The sequence below is a fragment of the Homo sapiens genome, chromosome 7 (assembly GCF_000001405.40).
Source record: "Homo sapiens chromosome 7, GRCh38.p14 Primary Assembly".
Classification (NCBI taxonomy): Eukaryota; Metazoa; Chordata; class Mammalia; order Primates; family Hominidae; genus Homo; species Homo sapiens.
The window spans coordinates 85,110,261-85,137,622 of record NC_000007.14 but is presented as its reverse complement, the minus strand read 5'-3'; the positions used below and the strand labels follow the sequence as shown (position 1 = coordinate 85,137,622).

General features: G+C 32.8%; 1 protein-coding gene across 6 annotated transcripts in view; it reads left to right on the top strand.

Annotated features, from left to right (window-relative positions):
- Window positions 1-27,362, top strand: part of SEMA3D (semaphorin 3D) — a 254,691-nt gene that overhangs the window by 112,621 nt on the left and 114,708 nt on the right. For all 6 annotated transcript variants that reach the window (NM_001384901.1, NM_001384903.1, NM_001384902.1 and 3 more), the window contains one exon: window positions 15,692-15,882. In NM_001384901.1, coding sequence (NP_001371830.1) covers window positions 15,732-15,882 — 151 coding nt within the window. In that variant the 5' untranslated portion in view covers window positions 15,692-15,731. Of the gene's footprint in view, window positions 1-15,691; window positions 15,883-27,362 lie in introns of those variants that run through there.

The following is a 27,362-nucleotide window of genomic DNA, read 5'->3' as shown; positions in this document are numbered from 1 at the left end:
GGGTCAAGTCCAGAATACCAATTGTAGCAACCCAGGCATTCAATCAGAGGAACTCGGTGCTACATTAGTGGCATGAAAATGGAGTAGAAAAATTAATCGTAGGTAAAAAATAGCGTGTACATTATTAAAGGTATCATTAATACTGATGACAACTTTGATAAAGAGCAGATATTCCCTTGCCATATCCCTGTAGTGTCTGTGTTATGTGTGTGAGTATATATGAGATTTATATATATACACACACACACCCCTATGTATGTACCATATATATGTCTTATATATCATATCCTGTATATACCCTATGTATATACTATATATGTCATATCTATGTCATATATATACATCACATATATACACATCATATATGCCTTTTATGTATATCATATATACCATATGTAATACATGTTACTTCTCTATTTGATAAAAATAAATTATAATATCTGAAATCAGAGTTTCTCATATCTGACTCTGCTGTAAATAAGATTTAATAACATTGATCCCTGAAAAAGTAAAACTGAATTAAGTCAAAAAGGTTAATCTCTTTTTAAAGAAAAAAGTCTATGTATGTTGTTAATCATTTAAAAAATATTCATAGACACTTTGCTTGGCTAAAACTACATAAGTCACATTCCTGTTATATTGATGACATATCAACATACTAAATTTACATTAAAAAACCCTGACCCTGAGTGGCTAATTGAATTCCTGAAAATAAGATGTCCAGGACTACAGTCATGTCTTTAGACCCTTAACTCAGAGCACTTTCCGCTAAAGCATGGTGGATCCCTGTTCATGTTCCCTTTGCATTCTTTATCAAAGAGTAACTGGAAAATCTGACACTTATATAAAACATCAGAATTGAATTGTTCAAGTTAAATGATAATAAAAATCTGTAAATAGTAAAAAATAAAAATGTATTTTCCCAGTTGATACACATTATATTTTTTAGCAAGAGAAAGCATAATATGCCTTTCAATGCATAATGATTTTACTTTCCTTTAATATTTTAAATAAAAACATATTGTAGACAATTGTATAATTCAATTGTTTTAAACTAAAATAATCTTGAAATACCATTTACAGATTATAAAAATGTTTTTTAATATGTTACTTTACCATATTGCGCTACATTGATTGATCAATAGATAGATGATATAAGCTTGCTTTAAATAAATCAAATGCAATATTTGGAAAATCAAAGTTCTGTGTATACTTAATGCTGATGCTTATGATAATCCCTGGAAGTTGGCAGCCCTTGTTGAATGATTAAGTAAAATAGTACAGAAGTCAACTTTTTAAAGGAGAAATCTTGATTTTATGAGGATAATGCAGTACAAGAATTTTGCTGAAGCATTGTCTGAAAAACTGATTTATTGAAGTGCCAAGGATAGAAAGATATCTTTTTCTCATTGTTTTATAATCAAGAATTCGTTGCTCTTCATTGGCATTCCAAAGGACACACGCATGCACTATTACAATTGAACTCTACATTCTTTCTTACCCAAGATAGCAATAATCTCTACATCTCTACATTTTTCCTCTGAGTAGCTTGCATATTTTACCAATTAGACATTGCTCTCTCATCCTCTTTTTAATCTGGGTTTGCATTTATTTAGGAAAAGGTCTGTGCTGTGAATTTTCTATAAATGTGGGAATTGTATAGACAGGATAAATGCTTAATGGATAGTTCTCAAATATGTCTTTAAATTCTACTTAATTTTATGCTTTGTCTTCTGGATACAACTCAACAATTCACAGGAAGAGAGAAGGAGAAGTAGAAACGTGATAGTAAATAATCCCATTGAAATATCATTTTCTTATTATAATTTTTTTTTTTTTTTTACTGAGCCAACAGGGATAGGAAGAGGGAGAAACTTGACAAAACTTTGCAAATTGATTTTTTTCTAATTAATTTTTTCTAATTTTTTCTTTTTTAATGTTTATTTATTTATTTATTTATTTATTTTATTATACTTAAAGTTCTAGGGTACATGTGCACAATGTGCAGGTTTGTTACATATGTATACATGTGCCATGTTGGTGTGCTGCACCCATTAACTCATCATTTACATTAGCTATCTCCCCTAATGCTTTCCCTCCCCCTCTACCCCCACCTCACGACAGGCCCCGGTGTGTTATGTTCCCCTTCCTGTGTTCAAGTGTTCTCATTGTTCAGTTCCCACCTATGAGTGAGAACATGCCGTGTTTGGTTTTTTGTTCTTGCGACAGTTAAATGAGCATTTGCTCACTTCTGAATTATAACTACCAACATGATTCATGTGCAAACCATAACCAGTTGAGGGAAAGGAACTCTCCTAGTCTATAATAAGAAATAATTGTATCAAAAAGAAAGAAATAATTGTCATAATAGCCATTGTTTATTTTGCAAGTACTATGTAGATACAGATTTTAAAGTACATTAATTCAAATGCAAAAACATAGCAAAGTTGCCGTTACCTGCTAAATTTCAAAGAAAATCTTATCCTGGAAATGGTAAAACTGGAATTCATAATCAAGCCTGTCTGACTCCAAAGTTCAAATTCTCACCATTATCTCGTGGCCCTTCTCTACACACAGGGGTTTTCTAGGATATTCTCAAGTGATGTTAGAAAAAAAAAATGTGGTTCTAAAAACTTGCAAAAAGATACCCAGAATTACAAAGAATGTCCCTGAATCACTCAGTTATTCCTCCCGTTTTGGAGGGTATGAATCTTTATAACATCTATAGTTCTTTCTAGTTTAGTCCCCACATTCCCATATGTTCCTTGGACACTTGGGGAGACACAAAGTTTTTGAGTTTTTATGATATTATACACAATGATACTGTAAAGAGATTTGAAAAGCTTCTCCATCATATGTCAAAGAAGTGGGCTGGTGAAGCAAAGATGAGACTGAGTTCTTCTTTCATTTATTTAATAAATAAATACTCACATCTGACTCCATACCAGAGACTGTGTTAAGCTTTGGGGATACCGTGGTAAATGTAATAGATATCCCGAATTCATGTGGTTCAAAAGAAGTAAAAGTACATGTTTCGGTAGTTGGAGATTATGCTTGTTCTGGAAGGTACAAATGAAAATCTTGCAAGATTTAGGGAATGATCTACTTATCACTTGGAAATATATTTTAAACTGTTATTTTTATTATGCTATAACAACTCATGTTTTGAATACTCTAAAAAAGTACAGAAGTTGTAATTAAAACTAAATTTCTTGATATGCATAAACATTTTTGGTTATTACAATATCCAAATAAGCCTTCAAAAATAACTTTAGGTTGGCTTTCTGTCAAAACCATTTCTAAGCATTTATATCAGCTCCAAGACCTCCCTCATAGACTTTTCTTCAAACATATTTAGTAGTCTCTAGTTGAAAATTCTAAAAAAATATTTTTCATTCTGCCTTTTATTTTGTATAGTCTAACAATTTCCACATCCAATAAAGCAATTAAGTATGTTCTTTTTATTAGGATTTCAGTTTGGCAGTGCATAGAGGCTCAATGAATTAGAAGTTCGGAGGAAAATAATGTATTGTTAATACTGCAATAGGGACCTTATCTAATTGTGCATTGAAAAACATGTACACTGTGGAATGGGAGTTGAGAATTTTAATGCCAAATTATACAAACACATTTGTAAATATGATAGGAGAATATGGGAGTTTCCAGACTTCCTTTTAAGTTTCATATTTACTTACTATCTTTAGAAAATACTTGCTATCATAGTCCATGTAAAAATGGAAGACCATTAAGCTAACATTTGTTAGAGCTAGCTATGTGCCAGAGAAGATACTAAGTGCTTTCCATGCATTATTTCATTTTATTCTCACAACAATCATATTTGATAAGAACTGATAATCCTATTTCGTAGATGCAGAAACTGGACTTAAAGAAATTAAGTGAATTCTTTCAGAGGATAAAGTTGATAAGTAACAAAATAGAAATTACAACCAAACCATCTTATAGCCAGAGACTGAACTTTTAACCAGTAGGCTGAGCAATCCCTGGAAAATTCAAGAATTTTATCTCAGTTGCTATAACACATGGTAAAAACAAATAAGTTTAATTATTGAGGATTTTGAGAGACTATCTGAATTGAACTCTGTATTTAAAAATTCAGAACGTTGCGCTAGTTTTAGAACATCGTGCTAGCTTTCAAGTCAACTTCTGAGATCATGTAGTAAGAGGTATTATATTTTCTCCAAGAGGGAAAGATGTAAAAAATAAAAATGGAGAAATATCCATCGGCAGCTGTATGTATGCTCAACCCAGGAATCCCCTGCTTATCCTGACTGAGGCACTTTTTAATATTCATGTAAGTCCAGTTTTTAAGATGTAGCTGAGGATATAAGGATGAGACTAAACACAGCTCAGAAACTGATACTACTATGTTGATAGAGAACTAGATAAGGAGGGCGATAAGGGTGGAGGGGAAATTAGATAGCACAAATATTCAACACATGACTTCAACAGAACAGTCATGCAAAAAGAAGAAAGAAAGAAAACATATCTACATAGGAAGACCAGAGAGGTTTTTTTTATAAATATGTGGCTGCCTGATAAAGAAGCTGAAATTTCTGGCACTTTATTAGTCTCACTGTCACAAGACAATACCCCAACTCATTCTATACATATTGCGTATGCACTGGGGAACTGCAAGTTACTTTCTGAACACGAATATATTAGTCCAGGAACTACTCCCTTATACGTATTAAGAGAATGTAAAAGAGATGAATTCAGCATTAATGATAGAAGCTCTTTAATAAGATCCATATTATGCTTCTATATTGCATGTCCAGTACATCAAATAATGTTTCTAAAACAGTGTTATGAGGTCATACTTTAAAATATAATAAATTCATGTGAAGGCATATATAAAGATAGTATAAAACTTGTATTAATTATAAGATGATATTTCTACATTTTATTATGTTATTTGGAATTATATAATACATTGACATTAATTTTTAATTTTATTAATTTTGATTTGAGGACAGTAATGTTCATGCTAGAGAAACATTTCATCCTTATGCAAATATGTATTTTTTAATATGTTCTTTTAATAGTCCATGTTAGAACCACCAGAAATATTAAGATGTTCTAAGATACATACTAGCTCTTTGAATCTGTGGCAGAGACAACTTCAACTCTTGGTATGCTACAAATATAGTAATTTTGAAAACTGTTACAAATAATACTGGCATGTTCAAGATCTGAAATGGTTTAAAATGTTATTAAAAGTATTTTTTTATGTTTAACCTACCAAAACCTAATTCAATCTCAATATGATATCCAATTTTGCCATGTTTTAAGTTAGGAGACATTGCTTCACTGTTTTACGAGTTTCCATAGTCAATAAAATAATTTTTGTTTTCTTGCTATTTATGAAAGTTTTGCTATGTTTGATATATAATCACAGGGTATTATAAATGAAATTTGATCAAAACTATGTTTTATAAGCTGGTATGGATGTCTAAATATACTTGGTAAAAACATGACAATTTTAATGTAAGTAAAAATAGTTTCAAAAATTGATCATAAACAAATATAGCTGTTTTTAAACATGATTCTTTTTCATGTAAAAATTATTTTAATTAACTATCTAAAATAATTTCAGACATATGTTCAAAAATGGTCAGCAACTACTAAAATATAAATTATGTGAGGTTCCTAAGTGGCATCATATTTAGGAAGAATAAATTTTAAAGAAAGCTGAAAACAGAAAACATTAATAAAGAGTTTGTTAAAAAACTTTACACCTTTAAACCATACTATACTAGTTGTAAAACTAAATACTAGGTGTGGGAATGGAGACTAGAACACTGAATTAAGTCTCATAGATGCATAAATTTTTTTTAAATTACCACCTGTTAAGATTCAATACAAAGGATATATTGAATTGCAGACATACATTATTGTTATACTTTGAAAATACCATTGAATGTACTATATCTTCGTATTTCACAAGATCCACAAGATTTTTAAAATTTGTTTTCCCCTTTAGAAACTAGTATCCTTTCTGGAGAAGGCATTAAAGGAAGCACACTTCTTTGAATCTTTTTAATCCAAGTAAAAATCTTAAAAGTCAAGTACTACACATATTCACCAATGTTTATTCTACTTTGATTTTAAAGTTTTATATGAGGTTATTGTTGATCGGGTATTTAGTTATTTTCTCTTTCTTGATAAATTATGTGATTTAATTTAAATGAGTAGCATTAGAGGTGCTCCAAATACAATTATGTTATATCCTTCATAATCAGATTCAAACCATCACTTTCATTCTCCCCGTTTAAACTATACAAATGGAATTTATTTGCTTGCTTGTTTCTTTGTGTTTATGATCTCAAAGAATTAAAATTATTTTCTTCATTTGCTTTCATACTCTTGGATGTTATATAGTATTTTCCTGAAAACTCTGCTTTACAGGCCTTACAAACTGTACTTGTACTTTCAGATAATCATGAATTGTCTTTAAAACCATAATTTTCTCTTGTTCTTAAATCGAGTTTTAATAGAAAATTAAGACAAATTGAATATAATGATTTTTAAATGACTAACACTCATGGATCACTTACTGTGTACTGGGCAGGGTGCGGTGCTTTACATCATGGTTTCTTAGTCCTTACAACGAAGGAATCAGATACCCTTGTTATCCACAATTTCAGGTGAGAAACATGAGCCACAGTATGGTTAAGTAACTGGCCCATGGACAAACAGAAAGCAAGTGACAGACCTTGGCTTTTTGCCTGTGCGCTTAACCACTGTGCTAGTGTGTTTTGACATGTCCCAGAAGAGTTACGGAAGATATGACCTGGGATATGTGGAGGTGTAGCTAAAAGAAACTTCTTTTACCTTGTATGACAAGGCAGTCATATAAGGTACAAATAATGGAACTTATGATATCAATTTATTTATAAAACTTATATATTTGTTTTAAGCTATTTTTAACTTTCTCAATAGCAGAGTTAAACCGAACATAGGAATATTTACTGAGTCAGGGATTCGAGAACTTTTGAATTTCTGGTAGAAGCTGGTAAATTATTTATAGCAAAATTCAGATTTCTCCTAGGGATAACGATTTTCCAGACATCCAGCTCGTTTCTGGGCCAGAAGGCCCCAACAATGAGCATGTGCAAACTTATTCTATAATGTTTACCTTATAGTGACACAATTAGAAATACAAGTGGGTTGGAACAGTTGCATTTGAAGCATGTTAAAACAAGATGGAATGCATGAACATATGTCATTATCATTAGAAATATAAAAAATGTTCACTAAATAACTATTACTGCTAAGAGTGCTGGACAATTCTTTCATTTGTTGAAAGAAAAGCTGCCCTTTTTGATTGCATAAGTCATCATCAATTGTTGAATTTAAAATGTTAGTTATTGATAGTTGCTGAGTTTGGTCAAATACCATGAAATTCAAATCCGATATGAAGACTTGGTTCCTAAATTCCACATGTGATGCTAAGTTCCTTTCACATCTGCCTATTTGTGTTCCCAGATAGCGTTATGCTTATGAAAATTATTTAAATTTTTTATCCTATTTCCCTAGGGTGTTTACTTCCCTAAGGTGTTTCATTAAATAGTGAAGAAAGAAACAAATAGTGTTAATAAATTTAGCACATCTTTTTTAAAAAAATAAAATTAGGCTATATAGGATTCATTTAACTCATTATAAGTGTTTTGATCTTAACAGTACATGTGTTCCTGGAGAATTTATGTGAATATGAAACTCAAGGTCATAGTTTTCCTGCTACGTGCAGTTTTTTTAGATTAAATGTTTGCTGTTAAATATGGGCATTGATGGTAGATTTGATGGCATTTCTTTATCCGTTTATATAAAAGGTTAGGATTTTTATGAAGAATCCTTATATTGTCCTACAGCATACATCCAAAAACGTAATTTAATTATTTCATAATTATTTACTGCTTTCCAGTAGTTACAACCTTAAAATTCTAAACTAAGTAGGTATAACCCCATGTTATCATTTAGTCTTAGTGTAGGAATTTATTGAAATGCTATTTCCTATACATAAGTGGTTGTGTATAAGCAGGCTTACATATTTTTACATGTTGGCAACTATAACTTCTGTATGTTGTTTTGATGATAAGATGAAATCCTCATCTCACAGTCTGATAAGATATGTATTAAATAACAAAAAAATTTCAATTTTTCCTCCTTTGACATAACTAATTTTTTTCAGTAAATATTTTTAATTAGAAAATTAAAATATACATATGAAGATTGTGAAAAACATGACTACCACACATGTCAATAAATAAAAAGAAATTCTGTTTTACAAATTTATCTGTCGTTCCTATGTAGGTGTTGTGCTCTTCTCTTCATGCATCTTTGCATTGATCTTACCTTAGAATAAGTGCTGCTGAAAGAAACACCATGATAATATTTTAAAATATAATAAAGTAGGTGAGGCACAGTGGCTCACGCCTGTAATCCCAATACTTTGGGAGGTTGAAGCAGGATGATCACTTGAGGCCAGGAGTTCAAGAGCAGACCAGCCTGGTCAAAATAGTGAGACCCTATCTCTACAAAAAAAAATTAGCTGGGCAAGTGGCACATGCCTATAATCCCAGCTCCTCAGGAAGCCAAGGCAGGTGGATCACTTGAGCCCAGGAAGTCCAGGCTGCCATGAGCTGTGGTCATGCCACTGCACTCTAGCTTCAGTTACAGAGTGAGACCCTATCTATCTCTAAAAAAAAAAAAAAAAAAAAGGAAAAAAATATATATATATCATAAAAATATCTGTATTGCTTTGAAAAACAAGTTTCCAACTACCCAATTATTTATGCTGATACAGAGACCATGGAGCCACTAACTTGGTTATAAAATAGAATATTCTGTACATTTTATTATGAATAATCAATTTTTTACAATTCAAATCCATTTATTCACATAGGCAGAATATTTATAATATTAGATATAGATTATAAATTCTGGGGAAATATTAAATGGACATATAATTCAACAGCTGAATGAATAACTGAATGTGAATTTCAGAAAGGAATAAATTAAAATTTTTGGATATTTGCCAAAATATTGCTTAGTTTTGATAAAAATGACATTTCTAAAAAATAAAAGGGCTTGACTAAATTAGAAATAAGCATATCTCAATAATAAAAACATAGTTGGCCCAGTGCAGTGGCTGATGCCTGTAATCCCAACACTTTGGGAGCCTGAGGCAGGTGGATCACGAGGTCAGGAACTTGAGACCAGCCTGATCAACATGGTGAAACCCCATCTCTACTAAAAAATACAAAAAATTTAGCCAGGCATGGTGGCGTGCGCCTGTAATCCCAGCTACTCAGGAGGCTGAGGCAGGAGAATCACTTGAACCAGAGATGTGGAACTTGCAGTGAGCAGATATTGCTCCACTGCACTCCTGTCTGGTTGACAGAGTGAGACTCTGCCTCAAAAATAAAATAAAATAAAATAATAAAATAAAATAAAATAAATAAAAACATAGTTAATTCTTAGTTCATTATTCCAAGAAAATATAATAATTTTCCTTTCATATTTTCAATAATTCCTACTCTGCTTTATTCAAGTCTCTTCATAAAAAAAAAAGCAGATATACCTAAGAGGCACATATCAGAATATTTGAGGTTGATGCTTTTGAGTTTAAAAAACAACCGATTTATGTTTTGAGTGCAGACATTAAAAGTTGACAAAATGTTCTACAATTATCCAAAAGCATATTATAAGATTATCTGGGTCATGAAAAGTTGTATGAGTTAAAATGCTCCCGAGGGTATAAGAATTTGAAAAGGAAAATATTGAAACTTTGGGCTGTCGATTAATCTGATTTGAAGAAAGGTCAACTCTGATGATGTTAGTACTTTCTCTGACCCTTCAAATTGATAAGTATCAATTGCTGCTTTGAAGAGCAAATTGATTTGAGATTTAGGATGAGGAAAATGAATATCAATAAAGTCATTCACAGTAATATTTTATTAAATTTTTATAAATGTGTTAACTTCAACAGTTTAGACCTTGGAGGCACTTTGTTTCTTTGGGACCTCTTTACAATTTAAAAATTATTTTGTTGTTACTGTTATGGTCAGGAAAAAATGAAACCCACAAGGCTTAAACCTAAGAGATTACACACATATATTCTAAAATCTCACAATTGTATTATTTTCTGTTGAATTCATTAGAGGTAAGATCTTACAGAATTTTATTTGGCTCTTAGTACATGGCTATAAGGCATGCAAACCCAAGTAAAATGTTAACAGTGTTGCTTTGTTGAACAGGGATTATAAACTATATACTCTCAGTGTATTTTAGCAATGCAAACATAATGTTTAAACCGCTACAAAATAAAAATGTAGGTACTGTAATTTATATTTACTGACAAATAGCTTAGCTCAGCTCTACAACTAATTTCTGATGATAATCGTAATTTGTTTGGTGTGTGGAGAAATATCATTGGCCATCATAAAGAGGTTTGGAAGTAGATTAGCATTTAATCAAATATAAGACTCTTCATGATCTCTGAGGAGTCAGATGGCCTTCCAGACTCCTTTAGAATATATCATTTGATGGAGAATTCATGGCATCTGAAGACAATGGACAATTAGTCTTTCAACAAATACTTGCTATCTTACTAAAGTAGTAGGATATTTTATATGCCTATTAGAAAATACACAGAAGGAAACTTAGAAAGGATAGGATAAATTTATGTGAAAGTTCTAGCATTCCAAGCTCTTTTCCTGTGGACCTTTTCACATACCACTTGAATCCTACTTTGATATTATTGCACTTGATCAATGGAATAAATAATAGCCCCCTGTAACATAAAGCTTCTCTGTGTTTGCCTATGTTACCCCTTTGGCTTTCGAGTTTTTTTCTATAATCCCTCTTTGTTGTGCTGTCCACAGCCATGCCAGGAAGTAATGTTACCAATAATTGATCAGTCATGTGCACCCTACAGGAAAACCATCTAATCAAACAATAGCTCAAAATAGGAGCAGCAATTTGGCAAAAGTGAGTTAATACAGATATTGCTTTTAATGCTGAGATAGGCATATTTCCTTGTGCTTTCTGAATTGGGTAAAAAACATTCTCAAGTGACCTTATATGTACCACTAAGGTATAAAGAACAAAGAGCTCTTTATAAAATTAAAAAATCAGGGGTTCTTTCCTTCCCTTCCCCAACCTACACACACACACACACACACACACACACACACACGACACACACACACACACACACACACACACGAGAAAGAATCCTAAATCTAAGTGTTCTAGATTTTCATGCAAGAAGACTTACATATTTTAATCATTGTTCCGTGCATAGAAGCTACTTTTTCACATTAATAGTACCTGATCCTGGCTTAATGACTTTTGGAACCAATGCATATGAATAAATAAAGCAAATCAATGAAGTTCACATGTAAAATTTCATATTTCTTGCTCCTCAAATAAATTTTACCATCCATCTAGTAAGTTCTGGACTCTTTGTGTTCCTTAGGGAAATGGCACAAGGCCTTCTTGAGGTTAGATTATGCATTTGGATCTCTGATTTAGTGGAACAGTGTGTAAAAGTCTCTCATAATCAGAAAACTCCCTATTGGCTCCACATCTGAAGATTCCCAAGAGTGCTGTTTCTATCAGGGAGCATCTGGAATAGATTATATGCAGTTAATTGGCTCCAGGTCAAGCTTGTTACAGACAGTAGCATGCAGTATAACCTATGCATTTCACTAAATCCACCCACTTTTGGTTAAATCACACCTACTTCTCTCCATAATTCATCCCAGATGCACAACACACACACATGTGCACACAACACACACACACACACACACACGAAGACAGCAAAATATCAATAGAGTAGGAAGGAGGTTGTTGGCAAGACGTTTAACCCATAAATTATCTCAATTAAAGGATTAACTATTGAATTTATAGGATTGTTGGGAAGAAAAACAAAGAATCAGGACCAGTAGATTGTAGGTCTTGACTGTTTTATAGTAGAAAAATATATAAAGGCTTTTAAGTTCCAGCAGTTTCACCATTTTTACTTTATTTTGTTCCTCCAAGTACAGGTTCAGCACACGTGGGCACTTCTCAGAATGTCTTAGTAGTAAGGAAAGCAGGGCTTTGATTTTTAACTTATTTAACAATATTAATGAGTTTGGTTACAAGGAACAGTGTTACTACTGTTCAGTGAAAACCAAAACATCAATCTTCTTAACTTACGATGTTAGAGGCACAGGGCATGTCTTAGCGATTAATGACCAGTTGGAGGAGTAGGTATCTCAATGCATAGCCAAGGGCCATTAACCCCAACTAGTCATTAATTCCCAGGAAATGTCCTGCACTGAGGTCATTATTGCTAATAAAATGCACATATGGAAAGTTCCCTCTTTTTTGCCTATGTATATAAACATACATTCACGTTACATGCATTGTTACATGTCATAAAAAGGTATTTCACATGTCCAGAAGCTCAAAAAAAAAGTGTAATGAGAAATTCAATATACTCAGTCTCTGCATTCATTTTACCTTTCACTTTTTTTAGAGGGTATGGGTAGGAGGGAGAATACATGTTTGTATGCCACAGCTGTGAGTCTGCTGCAATCAGATATCAGCGCTTTGCTAATAATGTGAATACAAGAAATAATGGAAGGAACAGGATAATGCGATTGGAGAAGCACTGATGAATGTGGGTGGAACAGCACACTTGATCAATACCAAAAGGCAGTACGAAGTGACCATATGCATTGTTTTGAGTCCTAATGTATTAGGTACCAGAATACGCAGAGCCAAATTTAAGAGTTAGCCCAAGATTCTCTTTGGTGTCCTTCTGTTCTATGCCACTGAATTATGCCACATTCTCTTCCCTCTCATAGCCATATAACCAAGTCTATCATGCAACCTGCCTTGCTGTTCAGGAGTCCTTAACAAGGTTTCACTGTTTTCTGGAACTGTCTCTGTTTGCTTTTCCAGTCTCTTTTCTCTGTCCTCCATGAAAGTATACTTGTCTTGTTTAAGCCTATATGATACTCCTTTGAGTTATCTTGCATAGCGTATCATAAATGTCTCCATTTTAAATTTATTTTATGGTACTTTATTGTGTATAATCAACCATTCCCTTCAGAAAAATAATCTTATTCATTTCCTCACCTTATAAATGGTCAGCGATTAGATATGATGCCAATGGCTGATAAGAATATATATAAGTGAATATATGTTAGATATATTCAAATACCATCACAAGTTATATAAATATATCTTTATTAACATATAAATATATACATATTTAAAACTTGTATTGGAATTTGTATAAAAGCAGCAAGTTTTTAAGGAGAATCTGTAAGTCAAAGAATACTGGTATTCTAACTAACAAGTTGAAACTAACTTTTAAAACTAACAAGTTGCAAGAATGCATTGAGATTGAATGATTCAAAACTCATATATTCAAATCTAATCTGATAAATTTTTTTCTGTAGATCAGTTAAAGTGACTGTTTTGTGGCAATGGCATTAATGTGTTCCTACTGGCAGTTAAATAATATAATTTTTAGGACTTTAGGTTATTTTTTAAAAAAGGCTTTATTAGTGTTATATATTAAAATTAGCATAATTGAAGTTTTTAAAACTAAAATTTTCATAAAGGGCTGCTGATGGTGTAGGTTTTGGTCAGAAAGACATTCCTGTTGTCTCTCAAATTTTATTTAATTTAGGTGAAACGTTCAGGAAATGTCAATTAAATGTAAATAAAATATGCAATATTTGTTATATTTAATACAACATGATTGAAAGAGAATCTAAACCAACTTATATGCATATGTAGTAACCTTCTAAAAGAAGAATTAAATGTTGACAGATTATATACAAAGAATAATTTAGTATTCCTTATAGGTATCTTTGAATGTAATGAAATGTAATGATTGATGAAACAACTTATTAAGCACTCATGTTTAACATTTCATGAAGAAATGCAGCATAAAATTTGAAGTCTATCCTTAAATGTTTATCATGTATAAACATAATACACATCAAAATTTGATTTTATTTTACTTCCCAAGACTTGACTTAACTACTGAGATTTAAGGTAACTGAAATCTTGATATTCAAAGTCTGGGAGACATTTTAATACACTGAAGAGCTGATCTCACTTAAGAAAAATTCAACCCTTATTAGGCCTTCTCTTAAAACTAAACAATATAGGCATAAAATATTTATTTTGAATGTTAACTAATTACAAAATTACTTAAAGTCTAATGCTTTTTTTATTATGATCAAAGCTATCACCAATAAATCTATCATCAAATAAATTATTGGTCCTGTGGCCTATTTCCTAGTAACAGCAGTAAGTTAATTAACATGGAAGAGAAGTTGAAGACTCTGGCAGGAGCTGAAGATCACTAGATTCTACCATAATGCAAAGCACTGGAAGACTTAGGTGTGAAGAAAGCAGACTCTAGCTAAAGTCCTGATGATGTGTTGATTTGATCCATCTCTTACTTGCCGTGTACCCCTGGAAGAACTATTTAACTCTGTACCTCAATTTTGTTTCATCGGTGAAGTGAGATAAATAATTACCCACCCTTAATGGCTGTTTTTAAATTAAATCATTTAATCTATGTAAAGCACTTTTAAAAAAGTATTGGGAACATATAAATGCTCGATAATATGATTTGTAATTTTTGTTACCAGGCTTAGTTTGGAATACGTGTTTTGATTGACTCTACATCTTACAGAAAACAACCAAGTTAGCCTATTTTATGGCAACCCAGTTAATTACCACCTCCTCCCTCTTATAAACCCTTATATTTTGGAATTTGTTTTTCTATTCATTACTTCCCTGTGTGGAATAATACAGGTTTCAGGTAACATTGCATTGTTCCAGGCCTAACACCTATACTGGGGCCCTGACCTAATTAAAGTTAGTTTCTCACATTTAAGTGTAATTTTTAGATGTCTCTAAACTCAGAAACAAGAGAACTTGTCTCAAAATGACAGCTTTTGTCTGTTTTAGTTGGTGGATCTTTTCATTTGGGGATGATATGGGGCACGTATAGGCTTCTACCAGTGAAAGTGGTCTCGTCTGATCAAATAATTCAAGTTTCGACAAAAGTTGGTTCTTCAGATATTTGCTTAAACAAAACACAAAAACAACTTTAGTCAAGGAAAAAATGTTAAATAACAAAATAGTTTAAATTCTTGTGGTGCATTTATTTCTACATCTGAGCAAAGCCAGTCCTTAATTTTATTCCCCAGTTCTGATTCATTTCTATAAGAGTAAAACAAGAGCGATGGGAAAATTATTTTTAAAAATCTATATACATTCAGAACATTATAATTTAGTAAGTTGAGGAAAGTCTACCAATTGTTATCTTAATAGTTTTTTTTTTTTGTACTTTAAGTTCTGGGATACATGTGCAAAACGTGCAGGTTTCTTACATAGGTGTACACGTGCCATGGTGGTTTGCTGCACCCATCAACCTGTCATCTACATTAGGTATTTCTCCTAATGCTCTCCCTCCCCCAGCCCCCAGCCCCCAACAGGCCCTGGTATGCTATGTTCCCCTCCCTGTGTCCATGTGTTCTCATTGTTCAACTCCCACTTAAGAGTGAGATGATATGGTATTTGGTTTTCTCTTCCTGTGTCAGTTTGCTGATACCTTAATAGTTTTTTTTTTTTTACTCTTTTTTAGATTAAATTAACACCATTTGAAAGAGAACATTGTTTTCATCATGAATGCTAATAAAGATGAAAGACTTAAAGCCAGAAGCCAAGATTTTCACCTTTTTCCTGCTTTGATGATGCTAAGCATGACCATGTTGTTTCTTCCAGTCACTGGCACTTTGAAGCAAAATATTCCAAGACTCAAGCTAACCTACAAAGGTAAATATATACATATTTTCTAAATTGTTTATTAAGATTTTGAAATGTCTTTTTTGATTGCTATATTTTTTCTTTTTAGAAAAGCATATTGACTTCTGTGAAATGTTTTGGCATCAGTTCATAAAAATAGAATTATAGAACACGAAGCCCAATTACTCATTTTTGTGAGGAAAAAGATGCTAAAGCTATTCAAGTACCCTTTTCAGCCCAGTATTTATAATATTCAATTTGATCTGCAAGTGGTAAACAGTTTGGTGTTAAAACAAATAAATTCCTAAAAATAGAAAAATGTTAACACATTTCATATAACTCTTACTAGTTTATTCCTAGTTAGAGGGGATTTTTTTTAAAACACAGTAAGGTATCTTCAAAAAGAATTTAAGACAGCAGGATAGCTTCAAGTTCTCAACTATATATGTACTTGGTAATAGAAAAAGACAATGTGAAAGGTTTAAATATAAAAAAGATGAAACAATTTTCTAAGAAATGAAATCTGCTAAGCTAGTTGTTTTTAAATGTTTGATATAAAAGCAAAGTTTATATGAATTATGGTTGGTCAACTTTGTGTGTGTCTGTGTCCAGTTTCACGCCCAAATAGTTTTTACTTTAGTTTTCCTTTTTGATGTACTCCGGGCTTCATTAATACCTCAAGAAATAAAAGGGATGTAGGGAGAATAAAACTTCTTTATTCTCAATGTGATAGGCAAAAATTATGCTGGCAATTTGAATATCCTCTGATATCTTTAAGATCACATTTTATAGACAAACGAAATACCAATAATAAAAGCAAATTGGATGTCAAATCTAAGAGTAAGTTGAATTAGCACATTATATCCATTATAAATTTTATATGTTGGTATTTGTACAGAATATATGTCATGTATTAAAGAGTTAAACAATAATTTATGTATTTTTGAGTTCTTATGTATTTATATGTATCAAACTCATTTAAATTGGAAGTATATTTTTTGGTAATCTAGGACGTTTTTATCTGGAAAAATTGATCACATTATGAAATATCATTTATTGATGTCTTATTTAATCAATAATTAAAACCTTTTTTTTTTTTTTTTTGAGATGAAGTCTCATTCTGTTGCCCAGGCTGGTGGGCAGGGCATGATCTCGGCTCACTGCAACCTCCGCCTCCTGGGTTCAAGCGACTCTCCCACCTCAGCCTCCTGAGTAGCTGGGATTACAGGTGCCCACCACCATGCTTGGTTAATTTTTGTATCTTTAGTAGAGATGGGGTTTCACCGTGTTGGCCAGGCTGGTCTCAAACCCCTGACCTCAAGTGATCTGCCCACCTCAGCCTCCCAAAGTGCTAGGATTATAGGAGTGAGCCAACTCGCCTGGCCACAATCGATAACTAAAACCTGTATTTGAATGTCTTCCATTTCTTAATCATAGATATATTCAATTTTCTGTCATTCCCCTAAAATTATCTTAGTTTCAAGTGAACATTAACAGTTTTGGTAAGGTTTAGGCTATAAATTAAAAACAAAGTCAAGGCTTTTAACCTTGCCAGTATAAATAGTATTGAATTATACCTTCTTCCATAAACAACTCTTCAACTAGATAAACTACATGAAGCAACTATTTTTAGATATTGAGCAATAGGCAGCAAAGATGAAAGAAATAAACCACCAGTTGTACATGCCTATAATCCCAGCTATTCAAGAGGCTGAAGCGAGAGGATTGCTTGAGCCCAGGAGTTTGACTGCAGTGAGCTAGGACTGCATCATTGTATGCAAGACCCTGTCTCTAAAAAAAAAAAAAAAAAATTCACTTAATGGTGCGACTCGGAAAGGGTTTGGGGCAAACGGGGAATTTGTGAGCTGAGCCAAGATATTGAGCTGAAATATTGGAGGTCAAGGAGTGCTGAATGATATAGCAGTTCTGCCCACCCAGAATTTTAAAAGTTTACCAAACCTGGGGCACTCAGGTGACATGCTGCAAGGGTAATTTTGTTTTTTAATTTTTATTTTAAGTTCAAGGGTGCATGCCCAGGTTTGTTACATAGGCAAGTTGTGTCGTGGAGGTTTGTTGTGCAGATTATTTCGTCAAACAGGTATCAAAACTTGTACCCATTAGTTATTTTTCCTGATCCTCTCCCTGCTCCCTACCTCCATGCTCTGATAGTCCCCAGGGTGTATTATTCCCCTCTAGGTGTCCACGTGTTGTCATTGGTTAGTTCCCACTTATAAGTGAGAGTATGCAGTATTTTTTCCCCTCCATTAGTAGGTTAAGGATAATGGCCTCCAGTTCTATCCATGTCCCTGCAAAGAACATGATCTCGTTCTTTTTTATGGCTGCATAGTATTCCAGGGTATGTATGTACCACATTTTCTTTATCCAGTCTATCATTGATGGGCATTTAGGTTGATTCCATGTCTTTGCTAATGTGAATAGTGCTGCAATGAACATACAAATGCATGTGTCTTTATAATAGAAAGATTTATATTTTGGGGGTATATACCCAGTAATGGGATTGCAGGTTCTAATGGTATTTCTGTCTTTAGATCTTTGAGAAATTGCCACACTGTCTTCCACAATGGTTAAACTAATTTACACTCCCACAAACAGTGTATAAGCATTCCGTTTTCTCCACAACCTTGCCAGCATCTGTTATTTTTGACTTTTTATATAATAGCCATTCTGACTGAATAGTGTGAGATGGTATCTTGTTGTGGTTTTGATTTGTATTTCTGTAATGATCAATGATGTTGAGTTTTTTTTTTCACATGATTGTTGCCCACATGTATGTGTTCTCTTGAAAAGTGTCTGTTCATGTCCTTTGCCCACCTTTTAGTGGTGTTGTTTATTTAAAACTATAAAAACCCTGAAAGACAACCTAAGCAATACCATTCAGCACATGGGCAAAGAGTTCATGAAGAAGTTGCCAAAAGCAATTGCAACAAAAGCAAAAATTGACAAATTGGATCTCATTAAACTAAGGAGCATCCGAACAGCAAAAGAAACTGTCAACAGTTGACAGTGAGTTAGCAGGCTTGAGTCAACAGACAACCTACAGAATCAGAGAAAATTGTTGCAAACTATGCACCTGACAAACATCTAATATAAAGCATCTATGAGGAACTTAAACAAATTTACAAGGGTCACATTATAAGAGCTCAGCTGTTCTATTCCTACTGTAAGGGATACTTTAGTCCTGCCTTAAAAAACATGAAACTAAGTCTCAAAAGGATTGAAATGATCTTCCAGTAAACTCAATATCTGCCAGAAAAAAATCTCAACAATTTTTAAAATAAGAAAACCCAAATCAACCATATTCTCAACAATTTAATATCCATAATGTCCAGATACAATAAAAACATACTAGACATACAAAAAAACAGGAAAATTTAATAACAAGGAAAACATGCAGTTAATGGAAGGCAAATTGAAGTGATGCAGATGTTCACATTAGCTGACAAAGATTTTAAAATAGCTATCATAAATATGTTCAAGAATTTAAAAGAAAACGATATCAAAAGGAATAAGCAGATATGGAATCTCAATAGATAAGTGAAATGTATTAACAAAAATAATGAAAACTCCAGTAATGAAAATTATATCTGAAATTAAAAACTTACTGCATGAATTAAAGATTGGAGATAGCAGAACAACATTCAGTAAACCTGAAGACAGAGAAATAGGGATCATCCAATAAAAAGAACACCTGAGTTTTTACATGTCAATTTATAAGATATTCCATTAAACTGGAGCCATATCTAGAAAGTTCTTTTGTATTCCTTATGCTCTTTGTGTGACTATCATGGGATTATATCTTTAAATTCTTACAAGCTCTATTGTTTTAAAAAGATATCTATATATTTATATCTATATATATCTACAAAAAGATATATTTTTATATCTATATGTATTATGTATATGTATCTATATATAGTATCTATATATATGGTAGATAGATACATACATACATACATACATACATACATACATACATACATACATACTCTTGCTCTGTCTCCCACGCTCAAGTACAGTGGCAAGATCTTGGATCACTGCAGCCTCGGCCTCCTAAGCTCAAGTAATCCTCCCATCTCAGCCTCCTGAGTAGCTGGGACTACAAGCATGAGCCATCAGGCATGGCTAATTTTTGTATTTTTTGTAGAGACGGAGTTTCACCATGTTGCCCAGGCTTGTCTCCTGGGCTCAGGCAATCTGCCTGCCTTAGTTTCCCAAAATGCTGGGCTTATAGGAGTGAGCCACCTTACCTGGCCAAAAGATAATCTTTAAAGCCAAAGGTTTTAGGTTTTGTTATGGCAGTGCCCATTTCTAAAACCAAAATGTAATTTGGATAACTATTGCTGTATAACAAGCCATCATAAAACTCATTCCCTTAATAAAACAATTACTATATCCCTCAGTTTCTCTGGGTCAAGAATTTGGAAAGGCTTAGCTGGGTGGTTCTGGTTTGTACTCTTTAATGGAGTTGTAATCAGACGACAGCTGCAGTTGTAGCAGTAAGGATCTGGCTGGCATCTCTTCCTTCATGTATCCTCAGGTTTCTCCAAGGGAGTCTTTTCACTTCGGTAGTTTGGGCTTGCTCAGGGCCTCAAGTGCGTATATTTAAACAAACAAAGAGGAAGTTTCATTGCCTTTTTATACGTAGCTTCAGAAGTTACATGGTATTAGTTCCAGAGTATTCTATTGGTTGCAACATGAGAAAGCCTTACTCAATTTTAAAAGGAGAGCACAAAGACTATATTTCTCAATGATAGTAGTGTTGAAGTCACATATGTAAGGAACTGTGGCATGGGAGGTATTGTGTATATCACTGTAAAACACAAACAGCCACAACTAACTTTTATACAATCTTTTACTTTTTATAAAAGACACCTATGCAAATCAGTGTGGAAAGCAAATGGTGCAGGAGCAACTTGATATCAACATGGAAAAAAATGAACCTCAATCTTCACTCTATACCATACACAGAAAATGATTCAAGATGGATCATAGACCAAAAAGTCAAAGCTCAGATACTAAAACTTCTAGAATATAACATGGAATAATATCTTTGGAACCTCAGAGTAAGCAAAAATGTCTTAGGACACAAAAACAATAACCATAAATACTTTTTAAACTAGATATCAGCATAAGTGAAACAAAATTCTGTTTACCAAAGACATCAATAAGAGGAATAGGCAAGCTACAAAATATTCACAAAATATATCTGAGCAAAGATTTGAATCCAGAATACATACATGCATACATACATATATACACCTATATAAAACAATTTATATAGGTGTATATATATGTATTTATATATGTATATACATATGTAAATATATACCTATATAAATTGTATATGTATATATTTATGTATATATTTATATAAATATATATAAATATATTATAATATATAAATATACATAAATATATACATTTATATAAATATATATAAATATATACATATATAAATTGTATATGTATACAATTGTATACATATGCAATTATATATACAATTTATATAGGTATGTACATATATGTATTTATATATGTATATGTGCATATATACATATATAGTTTTATATATCTCTCTCTCTGAAACAAATTGATAATAGAAAACAAGTTTATATAGGGTAAAGTACTTATTCAGACACTTCACAAACATATTCATGACAAATAAACACTTAAAAATGCTGGACCTCATGAGTCATTGGGTAAATACAAATTAATATTACAATGAAATACTCCTATATATCTGTTGGAATAGCTAAAAACATGAAACACTGACTATATCAAATATTTGTGAATCTGTGGAAAAATTTAAGCTTGGAAACATTGCTAATGCAAGAGTTAAGTTGGAAAATTTTTTTGGTAGTTTCTTATACTATTAAACATGCACTTACCATTCATTTGAAGTTCTAGAACAGGCCAAACTAATCAACGGTTTAAAAATATGATAACAGTTGCCTTTGTTGTTGGGGGGCAGAGAGGATTGACTGAGAGGGGCATGAGAGGAAATTTTCTGAGAGTATAGAAGTGTTTTCTATCCTGATAGGGATGTTGAATGCCTAAGTGTACAGATTTGTCACAACTCATTAAATTGCACATGTAAGGTCTGTCCATTTGACTATATATAATACTGCCTTAAAAAGAAAAAGAATAGAAAACAAATATTAAAATCCAAGGAATAAAAAAAGATATGGAAAGTTTGAACTAAAGGAATTGAAGACATAAAAAGGGAAACTCCGGTTTCTTTAATACAGTGAATATCACAGAAACACTGCATTGACAAACGTGGGTAATGCAAACATCACACTTGCAAATAAATTTTAATAACTGATAATATTCACTGAAGATTCATATTGAGCAAAACATTGGCATAAGGACTGAGTGTGAATTATCTCATTACCTCTCTGTGAGATGAGTATTATCACCCCTTTCTTATGTATGAGGATACCGAGATACTGAGAGATTGAGCAGTTTGCCAGGATCACAAATTTAATTCGTGGTTCAACTCCTGAGTCAACCCCAGTCTACTTACAGCCTAGGATGCTAGCCCTGTCTTGCTCACTGTAGACATAAGTATTTCTTTCCTGAGGCATTTACCTGTCATAGTGAATAAATATACAGAATCATCATGCTGATATTTGACCAAAACTGATTATGTGATTTTCAACTGTAAACATTAAATGAAGTTGAAGAAGATTACATGTACTCTTTAAGATCACTGGGTAGCCAAAAAGATTATTTGATTTTTGTAGGATTTTATGCCCTTTGCTAAACTTATTTTTTTAAAGTCAATTGTGATAAATTGTCTTTGTAATCAAAATTTCATAGAAAAGTGATTATTAATATTAAATCAAATATATAAATTATCATCTGAAAATAATAGCTTGTATTAATGTATGTTTTTGGCCTTAGAGCCAACTCTGTAAGGATTAAAAATCTTGTTTTATTTATCTTTCTCTAAATTTTCATTCATCTCAGCCCTTATTCTTATATATAAGGAGAATTGATATGTTTTTCTTGGATTAAACGCAAAAAGCTCTACGCTTTTGATGCTTCTTATATTCAGTATTCGTTTCAAATTTATAATTTTTTCAGATGTTTTAGGTTGTCTGCATGTCAAAGGCTGGTAATCAGAAGCAGAGACTGAATGCAGGATAGAAATCCTAGATATCTTCCAACACACCCTCAGCACACACCCATACTTCCCTACCAGCTCTCCAGGGCTACTATGAGTCATTTCTAGGTTGTATGCTAATAATAGAGTAGTCACCTTTGTTAAGAGAATTATTGATAATCCTTTGCTGCTCACAGCACACCATTTTAAGGAATGCTGAACCATTTTAAAGAATGCAGAGTCTTCATTTTGGAAATCACAATTGTTCAACACTATGAAGCGTATATTTCCCATTCACTTCCAAAAATTTCAAGTTTTCCTATCTACCTCTTCTTTATAAAATCAAGCACTTTAGAAGTAAAGTAGCTCAAATCCTGCCATACCACCTTTTAAAACTCTTTTCCTGAATTTTAAAAAGCTATGACACAAAAATTACCATTAATTTTGTGTTATGGTGGGGCAAATTGCTTATATACCACGTTCCTGCTTCTGAAGTAAGAATCACAACATTCCCTTGACATTTTCATTTTGTCTCTCATGACAACTTATTGACTTGAGATCAGCTGGCACTAACCTTTGCTTAGATAGTATTGAGAGTCTGAAAGGTTATTCTTGGGCACTAACACACTGGTAGAATGTGAGGTTAAAAATAATCAGCCAAAATAAAAAATAATATTGGTTTTAAAAATAATTAACTTTTATGGGCATAAAATTAGCTTTGTTTTCTTTGCTTTCCATAATTCATACCTTCTCAGTGTAAACCCAAGTTGCAGGCAGTATCTCTGGTAGTAGTTAGCTACTTGGAATAGCTGCAAGATAATATTAACGGATTTCTTTCCTTTTTTCTCTTTCTTTCTTTTTTTTCTTTTTTTGAGACAGAATATCACTCTGTCACCAGGCTGGAGTGCAGTGGCACGATCTCGGCTCACTGCAAACTCCACCTCCTGGGTTCAAGCGATTCTCCTGCCTCAGCCTCCCGAATAGCTGGGACTACTGGCGCGTGCCACCAAGCCCAGCTAATTTTTGTATTTTTAGTAGAGATGGCGTTTTACCATGTTGGTCAGGATGGTCTCCATCTCTTGATCTCGTGATCTGCCCACCTCGGCCTCCCAAAGTACTGGGATTACAGGCATGAACCACCGCGCCCGGCCCATTGAGGAATTTCTTAAAGTATTTCTTAAACAACAATAGAGTTGTAATAACCATTTTATCCAAATAATACTCTTTAATGAAGACTTAACTTAGAACCTCTGAATCCATAGGAGCTTGGTTGTTTGATTCTATTGTTGTGCAAAGAAATTTCCCTTCAGTTCATGTGGCGAATTCTCGCATATTTATGACTACCAAATTTTTTTCCTGAATAATAAGTAAGGAATCATGGAGGTCAGAATGTTCTATATTTCCAGGTTTCGTATTATATGATTATTACTATAAATATTGTCCTACAAATTGGGCTTCTCATAGTGACTTCTACAGTTTACGCTGCAATTGTAAAAATAATTTTTGAGAGATGATCTTCTTAAATTGCACAATAATGTATTTTCTATCTCGCCATCATCACTAAGGACTTTGAATGTGTTGGGGATATTTATACTCAGGAATCACTGGTGTCTGTAATGTTATTTGTTTGGAAAACTCCAGAAGATGAGATAGGTATAAGTCATCAGCAAGAAAAGTAACTCATCTAGTATTTACCATATATTCACCCATTCTACAAATATGTAATAAGGAATCATTATTTACCAGGCATTGTTTTAGATAAAAGTCATTGTCTCATTTGAACTTATTTTTCAGTTAGGGAGACAAACAGTGAAGAAGCAAACAAACAGGTGAATATCATTTCAGACAGTGCTAAGTGCTATCAAGGCTATAAAGCCAGAGAATGACTGGGCCCAGGTACACTATTCAGACTTTATCATGTATAAGTCTCACAACATTGTTTTTATACCCATTGTTTTCATACCTATTTTATAGATAAGATACTTGAGGCTCAGACCCTGAATCTCTTGCCCAAAAGCAAAAAGCTATTAAATAGCACAACCAAGCTGTGTGCTTTTATTTATCTAGTTCAAGGCCCATGTTATTGTCAACTTGCCATGCCCTTGAGGAAAACATTGCATTTTCAAGAGGATAAATATTAAGATATAAAAAATAACAAGGTTTTACCATTAGTTCTTTAGCAGCAAGCTATTTTCAATAACTTCTAATAGCAGTAATTATGTTTTGAACCTCCCACATTTCTTAAACGTATATTCATTGACAAGAAAAACTTCAAAATTCCTTTTTGAATTTTTATTTGCCTATCTTATAACTAGGGATTAATGTATCTGATAGAATGGTTCTTTGTTTAATCAGAATTTTCTAAAAAATGAATAAGTAAGGCTATATCTTTTTCTGTAATTTACAAATTATTTAGCTGTGAAATTAAGCATGTGTCTCAAGTAGAGATGTCAGTTATTAACTCATCTAAACTTGTTTGATTTGTTTGATTTGTATTGATTTGTTTTGATACATCTAATAATATGTATTTTATCTGGATTCAGTATGATATAGCAGTGAATTATTTAGCAAGATGGAAAGTGACCAACACTATGGAGAAAAATGAATCAAGACAGGGAGCTCAGTAGTGGTGGGTATGTAGTAATCAAATATTGTGGTCAGGAAAGCGCTTACTGAGAGAATATTTTCACAAATGCTTAAGCTAGTCATGCAGATATCAGGAATATTTTTGCAGAAAGAACATCAAGTGCAAAGGCCCTGGAGTGAAAGTGTGTCTGGCATGTGTAAGGATCCTAAAGAAGATGGTATGGCTAAACAAATAGTGGGATGGGAGAAAGAAGAAAATTGACTAAATAGACAATTAACAGGAGAGAGGAGGGATTAGATCTTCTACTGCTGGCATTTAGTCTGAGTATTATGGGAATCCACTGGAGAATTTTGAGCACAGTCTGACATGATCTGACTCTCAGAATAATAGAATCATTCTGATTTCTATGTTGACAATACACAGAAAGAAAGAGATCGAGAAATAGGGAGCCAAGTTTGAGGCTATTGTAATAATTCATGTGAGAATTAATGGTCTGTGGCACAAAGTGATAGGAGTGGATACACAAAGATAGAGCCAACAGGATTTGCTGATGAGCTGAATACAAAGTGAGAGAGAAGTCAAAGATGACTCCATGGCTTTTGTGGTTTTGTTTTGTTTTGTTGTGGTCTACAGGTGGAGCTACCATTAATTAAAGTGGGAAATACTGTGGAAGAAGTCGTTTTGTGGGAAGATCAAGTGGACATATTTTATTTGAGAAGGGTATTAGACACCTAAGTGAGATGCCAAGAAGGCATTTGAGTACATATATAACCCTGAAGTTCACGGAGATGTCAATTGGAGATATGAGTTTGGCCATTAACATATAGAAATTTTTAAATCTACAAGACTGTGAAATAATTAAGGGATGAAGCAGAATTCAAAAGATTGGCTTCTGGTATACTATCAAGTCAGGAGATCAGAGAAAGGAAGAATTAACTGCAAAGTGAACTGAAAAGGAATGCCCAGGTATATAGGAGAAAAATTAGGAGTTCTAGTATAGAAGTTGTTAAATGAAAAAAGTAAAAGGAAAGAGATAATCAGTGGTGTCAAAGTCAGCTAATATGTCTAGAGAGATGACAACTAAAAAGTAACATTAAATTTAACAGACCTCACTGTTGACTTTGATAAAAGCAGCATGTGAGTGTGACAGCCAAAGCCCGATTAAGATGGATTCTTGAGAGCATGGGACTGGAGACATTGACTATAGATAATTCTCTTAAGGAAATTTTTGACAATTGTGATATAGGCATTAGCTGGAGAAGCAAAGAGATCAAGAGACTTGTTTTAATGCAAGAAATAACAGCATATTTGTATTTTAATTGAAATAATCTAGAAGAAGAATAATTGGTAATACAGGAGACATGCCGGATAATCTACACCTTATTGAAGACAGTATTGATGAGATTATTTTTCCTAAAAACAGGGTACATTTAGAACATGTATTAATAAAAGTGGCTTATTTTGCATAATAAATGCATCTTGTTCATTATCAGTTGCAACTGTTATCTAGAAGGAAAGCTAGGTTAAACATAAAAAAGTTTTCAAGGAGGAATGTTTAAGTATGATATGATACAGGCTGTAGGCACTATATATGTTTAGGAGATTAATATGTAAAGATTTGGAAACAGAAATCCAGAAAGATTAAATAATAATGCTAGGGTCACATAAGTAGATAATTTAAAAAACTGATGTTCAGATCTAAGCCCACTCTTTTTTAGTAAAATTGTGTTTGTATTATTAATACAACTTACCTGTATGCAACCCCTTTATATGATAATAATTGCAATCCATTTA